This window comes from Homo sapiens, chromosome 13 (assembly GCF_000001405.40).
Source record: "Homo sapiens chromosome 13, GRCh38.p14 Primary Assembly".
Lineage (NCBI taxonomy): Eukaryota > Metazoa > Chordata > Mammalia > Primates > Hominidae > Homo > Homo sapiens.
The window spans coordinates 59,985,835-60,000,914 of NC_000013.11; the positions used below are offsets into that span (position 1 = coordinate 59,985,835).

Genomic DNA, 15,080 nt, shown 5'->3' on the forward strand with positions numbered 1-15,080 from the left:
ACTGGAAGAACATTCCATGCTCATGGGTAGGAAGAATCAATATCGTGAAAATGGCCATACTGCCCAAGGTAATTTACAGATTCAATGCCATCCCCATCAAGCTACCAATGACTTTCTTCACAGAATTGGAAAAAACTACTTTAAAGTTCATATGGAACCAAAAAAGAGCCCGCATCGCCAAGTCAATCCTAAGCCAAAAGAACAAAGCTGGAGGCATCACACTACCTGACTTCAAACTATACTACAAGGCTACAGTAACCAAAACAGCATGGTACTGGTACCAAAACAGAGATATAGATCAATGGAACAGAACAGAGCCCTCAGAAATAACGCCGCATACCTACAACTATCTGATCTTTGACAAACCTGAGAAAAACAAGCAATGGGGAAAGGATTCCCTATTTAATAAATGGTGCTGGGAAAACTGGCTAGCCATATGGAGAAAGCTGAAACTGGATCCCTTCCTTACACCTTATACAAAAATCAATTCAAGATGGATTAAAGATTTAAACGTTAGACCTAAAACCATAAAAACCCTAGAAGAAAACCTAGGCATTACCATTCAGGACATAGGCATGGGCAAGGACTTCATGTCCAAAACACCAAAAGCAATGGCAACAAAAGCCAAAATTGACAAATGGGATCTAATTAAACTAAAGAGCTTCTGCACAGCAAAAGAAACTACCATCAGAGTGAACAGGCAACCTACAACATGGGAGAAAATTTTCGCAACCTACTCATCTGACAAATGGCTAATATCCAGAATCTACAATGAACTCAAACAAATTTACAAGAAAAAAACAAACAACCCCATCAAAAAGTGGGTGAAGGACATGAACAGACACTTCTCAAAAGAAGATATTTATGCAGCCAAAAAACACATGAAAAAATGCTCATCATCACTGGCCATCAGAGAAATGCAAATCAAAACCACTATGAGATATCATCTCACACCAGTTAGAATGGCAATCATTAAAAAGTCAGGAAACAACAGGTGTTGGAGAGGATGTGGAGAAATAGGAACACTTTTACACTGTTGGTGGGACTATAAACTAGTTCAACCATTGTGGAAGTCAGTGTGGCGATTCCTCAGGGATCTAGAACTAGAAATACCATTTGACCCAGCCATCCCATTACTGGGTATATACCCAAATGACTATAAATCATGCTGCTATAAAGACACATGCACGTGTATGTTTATTGCGGCATTATTCACGATAGCAAAGACTTGGAACCAACCCAAATGTCCAACAATGATAGACTGGATTAAGAAAATGTGGCACATATACACCATGGAATACTATGCAGCCATAAAAAATGATGAGTTCAAGTCCTTTGTAGGGACATGGATGAAATTGGAAATCATCATTCTCAGTAAACTATCGCAAGAACGAAAAACCAAACACCGCATATTCTCACTCATAGGTGGGAACTGAACAATGAGATCACATGGACACATGAAGGGGAATATCACACTCTGGGGACTGTGGTGGGGTGGGGGGAGTGGGGAGGGATAGCATTTGGAGATATACCTAAGGCTAGATGACGAGTTAGTGGGTGCAGCGCACCAGCATGGCACATGTATACATATGTAACTAACCTGCACAATGTGCACATGTACCCTAAAACTTAAAGTATAATAAAAAAAAAAAAAAGAAAAAAAAAAAAGACCAAACCAAAAAAAAAAAAAGTTATTTGAGATTAGTTGAGCATGAGTAGGTATTTATTGCTTTCTTTTTGGCCAGAAACTTGTTAGTGAAATAAGGCTAATGGTAGAAATATTTCCTCTTGTAAAGCATAATCATCTCTTCTTGAGAAGACTGGTTTTAAAATATCCTAGTGCTTTTAGATATTGTACCTTTTTGGTTATGCCAAATATTAGTTCACTTTGGAAAGCCGGTAATATGAAAAATGATGTCACTCATCATTAGTACAGAGGATTAAAGAGAAAACTGGAACAAGAAAGATGTCTCAGAAAGGGACAAAAAAAAAAAGATTTAATAAATGTAAATAAAACAGATAAAAGATTTTATAAGCAAAACCAAACTAAAGTGATAAACAGGTTGGGTACTATTCTAATGAAGCACAGTCCTCCATCTCAGATCATCCCCTAGAACTTCTTTCCTTAATGACTTTTAACATACTTTTCCTCTCTAAATTCTAAAGTGTGGGTCCCTCAAGCCATTTAGACTTTCCTTTCCATAAACTATGACCCACTGCTCTTGACCTACTTACCTTACACCTAATAAACCATCTATTACAGTGAAGAAAATCCACTACAGCTTAACACTAGCAAAGATGACTAATGATCATTAACTGTCATAGAGTGAAAATGTTTAAGAAACGGTTCCTGGGTACAAATCAAAAGTGTTAATCTATGCTTGCCTCTATTTGTTCAAGTTCTTTCAAGACATTATCTCCCATCCCCAAATATTTCTGCCATAATAACCACATTTACACGTGGTACATACATTTAAACACATTTACATCTATTACATTTAAAAATCTAGATGATGTATTTCTTTTCTACTCAACATTATTCTAATGTTTTTAAAATGAAAATGTTTTAAATTAACAACACAAGCTATTTCATGTCATCTTTTTAAGAAATCATAATTTTAGTAAGTTTTTCCTCAACTCCACAATGTCCAATTATGAGTTCATCTATAATGTGGCTGAAATTTCATGCAAAAACTCACTGGGGAGGCAATACTATCAAAGAATAATACACAACATTTCTGGATTCCAGAAATGTCAATCTAGAAAATAATCTCCATGAGCAATATTGGTGAGGTAGTAAATGTGTCTGAGGAATATGTGAATAACTTAATTAAGGGATGAACATTAAGTTGTCATTACTGACAAAATGCTATTTTTGTTGGAGGAGTTTTTGAAATCTTCACTTTTCTCTGTGGTATTGTTAACAAATATCAGAAATTATCTCCCATGCGCATTTAACTAGCGTGGTATTTTACACATGGTAAGCCTTAATTATTTGGTGTAAAACTGAATTTGATCTTCTCCACCCAATTATCTTGCTGTATTTCAGCCCCCTCCCTTTTTCCCAGGGAAAAGGGGCTGCCTTTGACATATATTCTCCAATCGAATTCCATTTCTGTCAAACTTTCTTTTGTCCCAAAAGTGGAAATGAAAAAAGATTCTAATTTTTCCATCCACCAATTCTTTCAAATGAGAACATTTAACATTCTGCAATAGAACAATCTACTGTTTGTAAAAAGAAAAAGAAAAATTATGTGTGTTCGTATCAAAAGTAGTTTAAAGAGCTCATTAAACAAAAAATGTTACAGGTTATCTAAGATTGCTGAAAAGGTAAAATAGAGGTCCTTCTGAGGTAGATGAAACCAAAAAATGAAGGTAAAAACCAAAAAAACAACACTCATAGACGTGTACACCAACAAGAGTAAGTTTTACTGTATGTAAATAAATAAAATTTTAAAAAATAAATGCATGACAAAAATATATGTAAATTATCACAATTCTGACACAATCTTGGAATAAAAGCATATTTTAAGAAATATTTTTAAGAATTTTTTTAAGAAATTTTTTTAAAGAAATATTAACAACAACAATAATAAATAGGAGAGTTTGGAAACATGAGGAAAAAACTGATGGAGTTGTCTTGAGTCTAGCAGTCACAGGAAGAACACTGCCTTTGTGGCAACCATATCTGGAATCAAGATACCCGGGGTTTAAAGAGCCAAAGAAGGAATTAACATAGGTGAACATCAAATGTAAAAGTTCATACTCAAAAGATGGCCAAATATCTAAATTTCTATGCCTTAATGTCATTTTGGTAATGCCACAATTTAATCTTTCTCCAAGACTCTTGATTTAACTCAAATGATAGTATCACCTGAACATAACCCAAAACAGTTGTGTTTTTTAATCTGTTTTGAAGCTAGATACAACCACATGCTCTCTTGGGGCACAGATGAAGGGATCAAAGTCATAAGTATGATAAAACCCCTGCAGGACTACAGGCATGTTCAAACCATTGAAAACAAACAACAGTCTTAAATTCTTGGGTACTCAAACAGCATCAAACTTCCAGAAGACGACAGGACTGACCACACACAGATCAAAAAATGTATGGAGTTTACTTTAGAGTAAATAGAAGTTTCAATGTCATTTTTAAGTAAATTTGGAGTAGAAATATAGTATCATAAACAGCATGGTACAAATGATATTTTAAAAATCTAAATTAGCAATTCTTAATCTAGCATTTATAATATAAATATTTAAACTGGTTTATTTTTAATAAAATATCAGAAAGGAGCAAATTAAAAAAATCAGTTACTAAACTCATATTTTAGAATATCAGTGGGATTTCTGGCTACAAAGAGAGTAATTTTGATGCATGTCCTATCCTCATCCTGAAAAACCTAAAGTTTTAACATTTTGGGTCTCCTCCTTGCTTGTTAGGTACATCAAAAAATCACTGAGTCATACCCTCTGATGTTACCCCGAGGACACAGCCTGAATGAAGCTTGTCTAAAAAACTCTTCTACTTGAAATTAAGTAGAAAAGAAAAAAACACCCAAAGTATAAGAGAATGAAATTTCAGCAAACCTAAATTGGTGGCAACAAAATGATTTTATATTCAAAGAGCTCAGCTTCCACCATAAAACAGTAATAGAAATGGAAAGTAGATATAGAGAACATTTACTAAGCATACACCATATGCCAAGGGTTTGGCTAGAACTTTTACCCACATTCCCATATTTCATCTGCCTAACAACCCAGTGAGTTAGGCACTAATCTCCATATTTAGTCACATTATAATGTAGATGAGGTTAAAAGAAAGATAAATAATTTGTTAACCTCAGATGGCTAGGATATAATCAATCTTTAAAAGCCATTTGTCTGGCTTTTTGATATATTAGCAACATTAAACGCAACTGTATTATTAAGACTTGCCAGCTACTTAAACACTAATAAAAGCAATGTTTAGTGCCCTTCATGTAACTTATAAGAAGAAACTTATCAACATCATTCCTACTGCCTAAGAAATAACTAGAAAATATTATCTGTCACATGATAAACTAGTAATTTGTTGCTAGTTTGCATTTTTATTCAGATGAAAGGTTGTAACCAGGAATCCACAGGAGCTTAAAAAGTAATAGTAATATCATTTTACCATCGTCTACCTAAATATATGCCCAGAGAAAACAACACATTCTATGAATCAGTGTTATGACAAAAATAAAAATCATTTGCTTGTCAAAGGCAAATATGATGTGAATTTCACAATTAATAGATTTTTATTAGTGAAAGAAAACATTAGAATACAACTTCCTCTTACCTTATAAAATAATCATTTCGAATCAGCAAAAGATGCTGAAGAATAGAAATAAAATATCCCTCTGCTCTAGTTTCTTTAACTGTGCTCCACACCATGTTGTAAACATCATATGCTTCAGTGAGTTGATTAAGGAATATATGGATTTATTTATACTCTACACCAAACAACTATAATAATATGACAGAATTTGTCCTGTAAGGTTTTGGAACTGTAATACAGGCATCTTATATATTCAACATAAAATACAGATATTTAGGATTGAGGGTAGTGGAAAAACTCTGGAAATGGTGACTTAACCTGACACTTCCTGACTTCCCTTCTACAATCAGTTCCAACTAATCTGTCTCCCCTAAGCACAGATGCTGTTGGGAACAAAGGTAGTAGGGAAGCTGGCTATGAATACTGTGTTGAATTCTAAAGGTTGCCTGACCAACAGAGCTGGTGGTCAGGTTAATTATCTACCATGAAGAAGCCCCAGGTGAGGATAGGAACCTGTTGGGTCTCATGAGGAGCACAGACGTCTGCAGACCCACAGATTAACATGCGACCCATGAGTATGCACCCAAGATGCAGGGAAAGAGCAGCCAGTGACTAAGGCTGCCCTATTCCTAATGCTAAAAAGCCCTAAGTAGAAGGAAAAGTGTCAAATATAAAAAGAAAACAAAATAGATTGCACACATACATATAAGAAACCAATCTACAGAATCCATTTGTTAGTTGCAGCATACGCTTACATATATGTGTATTCATAAAAACACACAAATTAATAAAATAATAACATTCTTCTGATGCATGAAGGTTTGATTTCATGTTGTTTATATAGAAATGAGCTAAATATTTGTGGCTGAGTATTTTGGATTTAGCAATAATTTTATATATGATTTGACTAGACTTCAGAACAAAAGGATATTCAAGTTCAGCTCTAATATCTTCAAGGCGATGGGATAACTCAAACAAATCTTCTTCTTTATGCTCATCAAAGACTTTAAGTTGGATATCCAGGCCATCATTCTTAATGCATTTTAAATTCTAGAGATATGAAATAGAAATTATGATGAATGATTTTGTTTTTAATTATGCAAAAGAATAAAAAACATATAAACAATAAACCAACCATTCAACTTGATTTATAGCATTCGAACATTTAAAGTGTTAAATAACACTCGAATCTTATCATCTATATTTCAAAAATAGATTTTTTAACTCAAGCCTTTTCCCACAGATAAATTATTCTTCAAGGTAATTTATCTAAATTTCCCCCTACTCAAGTACTCTTTTAATTTAAATATTAATAAGGAGACTGCAGGGCACTTACTGGCAATATCTCTTTCAATCCACAACGCATAAATTCATTTCTGATGTGAAGCCTGAAATCCAAATCATCAGGAGATGTAACCAGGGCATTGATGAGCTGCATACAAGCTACCTACAAGAGATCAAACAGTGAGACAGACTGGGTTTCCAACATTAAAGAAAGAGTAACAAACGTAAACTTCAAGGTTTTGTTCCAGCATTATTAAATATCTTTCCTATTAAAACAATTTGTAAGCAAAATATTTCAGTCAGTTATAAACTACAGAAGAAATAAAGTTTCAGTGGCGTTTTTTATTTCTCATTTATTTGAGGGTTACTGAGGTGAAAGGAAGATGGAAAAATATTAGCCGTTACTACTGCTCCATAAAAAAATAGAAAAAAAAAAAAAAAAACACTTGTAACCAAAAGCTAAGTTCTTGTCCAATAATATCACTCTACACACATACAACAGAAATTGAACATATCCAATATACCTATTGGATAGATAACACTTACCTAAAATAGGATAATAAAATAGTTTTCCATTCATCAAGAGAGACTCAAAGTCCCAAAGACTTCAAGGTCAACAAGGGTCTTAACTCTAGTTAACAAGGTTATAAATAAACACTGTATAATTAATTTCTAGAAGTTAATTTATCAGGCAATGGTTCTCATACTTTGGCAAAAATTCAAAATTACCCTATGTTTTAACCAGAAATAAATAACAGAGCTCACTAAATCCTTTAATATATAGCTTAAATGATAAAAATTTTTAAATCACAAAATTTTCAGCTCATGTTTAACACTTCAACTTTCAACTTCTCCACTTTTTTCATCCCTGGCTAAAATATATCTTTCATCCTCCAAAATCCATAAAATGGAAACAAAAGACAGTCTTTCTAGAGAAGCATTCTTTGTTGTTGTTGATAATACTATTTTTCTAAAGTCTACATTCTATCCAAGTCTAGCAAGAACTACTGGACTACTGATCAATATGTTTAACCTCATGCTGTTCCCTAAATTGTCTTTTCTCCATCCCTTAAGGCAAGGTTTATATGAATTTAAAATGCTGTTTTGGAGTAAGACACCAACAGAATTCTCAATTCCTGCTGTTTGAAATATATAGTAATTGTTATATTTGATATCTAAGCATTAAAATCTGACCAGCATGCCTCTACTGTCGAAACTTAAGGTTGTTTAAAGTGGGAATGGGAAATATGTCAGAAGAGAGAGGAAGAAGAGAAACATACTTAAAAAAAAAAAAAAAAAAAACTTAACAGAATCTACCTTTCCAGTACATGTTCATTCAGCTGTAACCAGTTCATGTCAAAAAGTCAAGTTTAAAATGTTTTCCTTCCACCCCCTTGCCAGTCATTACCCAGGACCCACAAATGTTTTCTTCAGCAATGCCATATAATTTTTAAAGATCTCAAAGAGCAAATAATGCTTCTCTACATTCAGAGAAACTAAATCAAACTCAGTCACCTGGCTTCTAGAAAAACACAAATTACAGATAACTCACAGAAAGTAGCAAAAACAAGGAACACAAAAACTAGCAGCAAATATTACCTAAATGGAAAATACATATATGTAGACAACAGTAGCATGAAATTTAGAAATAAGGGAAAGGATAATCCAAATTATTTCCGGGAACTATTCAAAAAGGTGATTCTCCATAGAAGAAAAAAAATAGGAAATTAAATTGAAATAATGAATTCAAGTTAAATTTATAAAATTGCTTCCCAATTCTAATCATAATTTGCCATTAGCATGGCTTACAATCTATTTAATTTAAATCATGCAAACATGTCTGTGAATACACATAGGTATGCACTAAAATGCATTGTTTCTTTATGGATAAATAATTCTATAATCAAGGTAAAGACCAAGGAGTTCCTTGTAGGTTTTATACATAATGAGATACATACCTGCGGTATCACACAATTTCACAATAATTTAGCATACCAGCAGAAGGGAGTGTCAATCAGCATTTATGCCATATCAATCAACGCCTAGAGATATCGAGAAACGTTAAAAAACTACAAAGGTTAACAGGACATTTTGCCTGTCCAATGAAGATATATCAGTAAAATGATAAAAATATACTATATACTGTAAGAAATATGTTTGGTAAATAATGGGAATATGGAGATGCTAAATGAGAACTAAGACAGCTGAATAAAGTACTAACTAAAGGATTAATAAAATGGCCTGATGAAGAAGTGAAGAAGGAAGATCTAAGCCGAGGAATTAACATGTTCAAAGACATGGAACCTTTAAATTACAAGCAATTCAAATTTTATGAGCGGTTTGTCAAGGTAGAAAGGGGAGTAACGGGAAGAAGTCAAGAAATGAGGTTGAACAAGGAGACAGGAGAGAGGGCATAGCCTTGTGTGTCAAGTCACAAAATTCAGATTCAACCAGAAATAGTGAAAATCATAAGGAATTTTATGCAACAGGGGCACAATAACAGAGGCAATAGATTCAAGTTCAGAAGCTGTTGTAGAAGTAAATTTTTGAGCAAGGAGGAAGGTTCAAACATTTGAAATATGAAGAAAAATTGATAGAATGAGGTAGAAGAAAAGCATTTACAAGAGGCCTCCCACTTTTGTTATTTAACTAGATAGAAAGTGGTACCATTAGCAGACATACAAAATGTAAGAAGAGCAACAGGTTTTAGAGAATAGGATAAATCCTACTTTCAAAATTCTGATTGAGATGTATATTAGAATCATTCATTCATTAAAAAAACAATTACTGACTACCTACAACTTCTGTCAACTGGAGATACTCATACTCAAAAAATGAGAACCAAAAGTGAGATGTTCGTCATAAGGAAGTAATCTCTGTGCTCTAGTTGATGTTCCAAAAATGTAGCATATGATCTCTCTTAATTTGCATGTTACAGAAATCGTTATGATACATTACAAAACCAACCTCCCTCTGCGCTAATAAGGGTAAGAAAACAAGGAACTTCCATCTTCTTGAGAGCATCTAGTTAACTAAAGGTTCCATCTTAGGGCATCAGAAGCAGTTTACCCCGATATTGGCTCACATACTTCATTCCTTCAAAGCCTATTTATTGATGCCTACTATATACCAGGCACTGTTCTTGGTGCTAGACATACAGCTGTGAAAAAAGATGGAAATTTCTTTGAGAGAAAGAGGAGTCAAGACTGACTCCAAGGTTTTGGGCCTGAGCAACTTAAAGGATGAAATTGTAATTTATTGAAACAGAAATGACCACGGGAGAAAACAGGCTTGGGAAGAGAGAGGAAATCAGTTTTGGAGATGATAAGTTGGAAATGCCTATTAGTGATCTAAATCTTAAAAGCTGCGAAGGAAATTGAAGATAGAAGACTCCAGTTCAAAATAAAGCAATTGCCATAGCAATAATACGTAAAAACCAAGACCTCAGATGGAATCACGACAGTATAGAGGAAAAAGGAGGTGTCAGAACTGTTTAGGGCATTTTCAACCGTAGGTTTCAACATGGAGATTAGAGAAATAAGTTAAAGAAAAAGAAAAGTTAAAAACCATAAGTGAGGTAGAAGGAAAACAAGGAGATTGTGGTGTCCTGGAAGTATGGAAAGTGGTCTCAACAGTGAGAGAGTGATCAACTGTGTCAACTGGTCAAATAAAACAAGGACTAATCAATTACCACTGCATTTGGCAAAATGAAAACACTGGTGACTTGACAAGAATAGTTTCTACAAAGGGATAGAGTTACTGTTCCAAGCAGAAACTACTTGCCTCCCCACAGATGCCATATGCAGCCAGTAAACAAACAATTGCTGTAAAATATTCTCCTCTTTGCCCTAAATGCATCTTTATATGTTAGAAGTAACTGCTCCTTTATCTTTGTTTTTAAAAAGTCTATGTAAAGACACTTATCTCTAGGTGTTATGGATTACAAATTCAATTCTAATGGTTTGGAAAGCCAATACTGTAAGCTCACTTTATTACTCTTGTGTCAATTATCAAAAAGGGTCTTCTGTGAGAAAAGGTATTTTAAACGTAACTTCTAGCTGGAGGGGTGTGTGTCCATCTATGATTCAGGATAGTTGAGGATTTCCTTAGGGCAGCAGTAAACTAAAAGTATAGTACAAGGACTGACATCAGCAAACTCCAGACAGCCTAAGACTGGAAAGCGAGCGGCCAAAAAGGTAATGACAAAGAGTGGGACAAAAGTCAGCAATACCATAAAGTAGGAAGGTAAAGACATAACAGGGGCCAATAAAGTAGATAAGCTGTAAATAGAAATCTCAAAGATATTCAATATGTGGGGCAGAGCGAGTCAAAGGCCATCTTAAGAACAGGGCAAACGATCAAAGGAAAATCATTAGAAGCCGAAAGAGGTTAACAACAAGATAGAGGAACATGCCACTACATCTACATCACTGAATCAGCAAAGTGGCTTTCTGCCCTTGAAAATAAAGTGAGAAGTTTTCTTCATATGTGAATATATAGTACCTAAATTTCCTTTGGTACATAATTTACTGCAATTACTATGTTCAACACAAATATGAGAAAAGACAAATGTGTTTATTTGTACAAATTTATTGTACATGAGAAATCTTGTTACATGCATATAAGGTGCAGTGATCAAGTCAAGGTATTTAGGGTGTCTATTCCCCAAGTACAACATATTTATTTGGTCAGATACAGTCACTCTATTCTGCTATCAAACATTAAACTTATCCCTTCTACCATATGTTTGCACCCTTTACACACTTCTCTTCATCCTTCCTCCTCTGCCCCCACTCACTCTTCCCAGACTGTTATCTTTCCACTTTCTACATCCATGTGATCACAATTTTTAGCTCCAACATATAAGTGAGAACATGTGATATTTGTCTCTCTGTGCTTAGCTGATTTTTCTTAATAGCCTCCAGTTCCATCTATGTTGCTGCAAATGACAGGAGTTCGTTCCTTTTTATGGCTGAATAGTATTCCACAGTGAATATGTACCACATTTTCTTTATCCATTCATCCACTGATAAACACTTAGGTTTATTCCATATCTTTGCTATTGTGAATAGTGCTGTAATAAACACATGAGTGCCAGCATCCCTTTGAAATATTTATTTATTTTCTTTTGGGTGGATACTCGGTAATGAGACTGTTTTTTTCTAACCTTTGGTTCCCTGACCCTTTTTTGGACAACAAACTTAAGCACAAAATTCAAGGTTCACTAACAGGTACTATCCCTGAGCCCCATCCACGAGGACCATCCAGTTTTTCCAAAGGCCGACAGAGCAGAAGCTTTCAACCTGATTGCGCTGATGAGATTTAGAAAGTTGTCTAATAGCAAAAGTAAGTAGTTCTTAGAAAGTTTACTCTTGAGTCAACATGTTCATCCTGGGTATAAGTAGATGTTTTTACAATTAAATCGTGGCTCTACAATGCAACAACATATCAGCTTCAGGAGCTAAATCCAGATTGAAAACAAGAACCAGTAAAATACTTAAATAAAAATTCTATCAGAGGCTGCAAAAGCTTATTATCTGGGCCTGGAAGATACAGTTTAGACTGCTATTCATCTTTCCTACCCCATAGCAGAAATCATCTGTCTCTCTTTGCACAATTAAATTTCACATTTATCAAGTTAAAATGAGTAAATGATGCTTATGGAGAAATATTTTGCCTCTAGTGTAAATAGAGAAATTCCAAAGATTTTAAAATTTTATACACATGCATTGAAGTAACTGCATATACCCCACATTGACTCAGAGAAATAAAATGCAGGACTCAAGAAGCTATAATTTATACCAGGGATACTAAAGAACAAACTTGAATTCTTAAAATATTTATTTGAAAACTCCCCCAAGACATCATTAATTTCTTCTATGTCCTCCCATGCCTTTTTCTAAAACTGCCTTTATTGCAATTTTCGTATGAAATGTTAGATGGCTTTAAATTCTTGAGTATAAGCTTCTTAAGGGCAGAGGTGTATTTCACTCAACTTTGTAGTTCCAATACCCAGCATAGCCCAGTACCTAGCAGTCACTGAATAACTAAGTAATTGATCGGTTAATTATGAAACTTTTTAGTTACCTTCAAGACATTAATTATCTTTCTAGTTGTCCACTGTAGAATAAATGAAGAAATGTATTATATAGACTTATTAGGTAGATTCAGAAAACTGCCAGTAAACTCTAGATAATGATAACCATTAGTTTATACTTGGGTATGCTCCATATGATAATATGAGTTCACATTAGAATATTATCTGTTCCTTTAATGTCTACTAGCATACTGGCTTATTATTTACTGATCCATTTTAATATGGTTGATGTTTTAATTGATTGGTACTTATATATCAACCCTATTCATGCAAACCTCAATAAAAGTAGTAGTCAGAAGAGAAAGGAATTAAAACAAATTAACATTTGCATCCTTCCGGGATAGCTCAACAATGATCCTAAAAATAAGCCTTTTACTAATAGTCTGTATTCTTCATTTAGTCCTTCACTAAATGTGAGAAAAGTTTATTTAAAATAGAAAATTAATTAATAATTATTTGATGGAACAGAAGAGACACTTAAAACAAAAAATAGTAAATCAAGATATAACTGTTTATTATAAGACCTTTACTTGGTCTTGGGCATAATAAAACCTGGGTAAACTTTGAAGATTAAAGTGGTAGGTGGAACAAAATCAACCAAAGCAAATATACTTGGCTAAATCCAGAAAGGCATTTAACCTCTAATTTGTTTTAATGTGAGTATTCAATGGCATATTTGTCTGATTATTGCCCATTGACAAATTTCAAAATATAGTGATTATCCCTCACTTAAGAAAGGTTTTTGGTACTATTTTTGATACTTTAATGAAACTATTTATATAATGATAAAAAGTTATCCTTTTTAATTTATAAAAATATTGCTTTTTCTACTTTTTCAGACATGGAAAAATGCAATCCCATCAAACTTTCAAAGATCTATCTTCTAATTAAACTTAATGAAATCCACAGATTGAAGAGTTTTTTTTTAAGTTAAGGAAAAATTTAACTATCTTTGCAGCAGCCATAACAATGCAACTCTCAGTCTTTGACTGCAGGAAACATAAATGGCCTACAGCCCCAGCTGCTACCTTCTGAAAGCTATCACAGCATTTGAATTGAAGTCACAGTTCCCTGCTCCCAGCCAAGGCTTGAGCACAGCAAGTATACTAAAATAGACCTGTTCCTGGGACACATGGGACTTTGGCTCAAGGATTCCCCAACAGGCTTGTCAAGCTCTCTTAGAATTTCAGGGCAGCCTGAGACACTTTCACCCCATCTCCACTCCTTCCCACTCTCCTTCACCTAGAGTCAGATCTGCATTGAGTTTGACAGTTCTCCCAGCCTCCCCCAGCTCCTCCTCCAGGGTCTCTCACAGGCATTTCCTCTAGTCCCTTACACATCAAACCTCTTGCTTCTCATAGAACCAAGACTAACAGCCTCATTTCACAATGCAAGTTTCAACAAGGGTTATCATTTTCAAATTGTCAGACTCATAAGTATTATAACTGAAGCTTAATCAAATTTCTTATTTTTTAGGTATTTAACAGAACACTTTTGCTTTTTCTTCTTGTTCTTTATATATGACCAGCTTCTGTATTTTCATATGTTACTATGAGATACGGGTTAAGACCATGTGTATGCCAGACACTGAAATACATTTGGAACACAGATTTTCTCTAGTAATATTTCCAGAGACACCAATAGCCTGGATTATATTCCTTGCTTTTGCTTCCTTGAAAAATATATTCTAGGGTAGAGAAATATCTACCACAGGAATCCTAGAAAGACATACCAACCATCAATCACCCCTGTCCAGTACTGCATCACTGTTATCACCATAGCTTAAGAAGCCTGAAGATATAAGGGTTGCACAACAATGTGAATGTGTTTAATGTCACTGAACTATACTCTCAAAGATGGTTAAAATGGTAAATTTCATGTTATATATATCCTACCACAATAGGAAAAAAAAAAACCTAAAGCAAACAATGGCTATGTATTTCAACAGTGGGTAAAGAAATGACAAGATCTGGGTCATCTTTACTAGATAATCATAACAAGTAGAGATCCACAGAAGGACAACATAAACCCAGCTATTGGTATTATATCTAAAGAGTATACTAAAATCAGATATTTAGAACCCTGAATGAAATTAAGTAAAAGGATTTAAGTATATATTTTAAGTGAGCAAGCTCAGAACTAAAGATGCTACAGATTCACATCAAACCATCAAAGACAACCAAACAATTTTTTCTCTCTGAAACAAGCTTCCCATCTTTTCCTTTATTTGCTCTCTGACATAATTATTTCTCCTCTCTGGACTCAGAAACTTTGGAAATCATGTTTTCCCTTTATTCAGTAACTAACATAGGGAAAATATTCTTGAGGTATTTCCAAGAATCAAAATTAATGAGGGTTTCATTCCATTCAATCTACATCCAAGATAAAACCAATGTA

General features: G+C 34.1%; 1 protein-coding gene across 19 annotated transcripts in view; it reads right to left on the reverse strand.

Annotated features, from left to right (window-relative positions):
• DIAPH3 (diaphanous related formin 3) overlaps nucleotides 1-15,080 on the reverse strand; it is a 498,346-nt gene that overhangs the window by 320,252 nt on the left and 163,014 nt on the right. For all 19 annotated transcript variants that reach the window (XR_002957478.1, XR_002957480.1, XR_941672.1 and 16 more), the window contains 3 exons: nucleotides 6,639-6,749; nucleotides 6,234-6,352; nucleotides 5,324-5,440 (listed from right to left, as the gene is read on the reverse strand). Coding sequence is in view for 14 of the 19 variants with exons in the window: in NM_001258368.2 (NP_001245297.1) it covers nucleotides 5,324-5,440; nucleotides 6,234-6,352; nucleotides 6,639-6,749 (347 nt within the window). In the remaining 5 variants the exon portion in view is untranslated. The remainder of the gene's footprint in view (nucleotides 1-5,323; nucleotides 5,441-6,233; nucleotides 6,353-6,638; nucleotides 6,750-15,080) is intronic.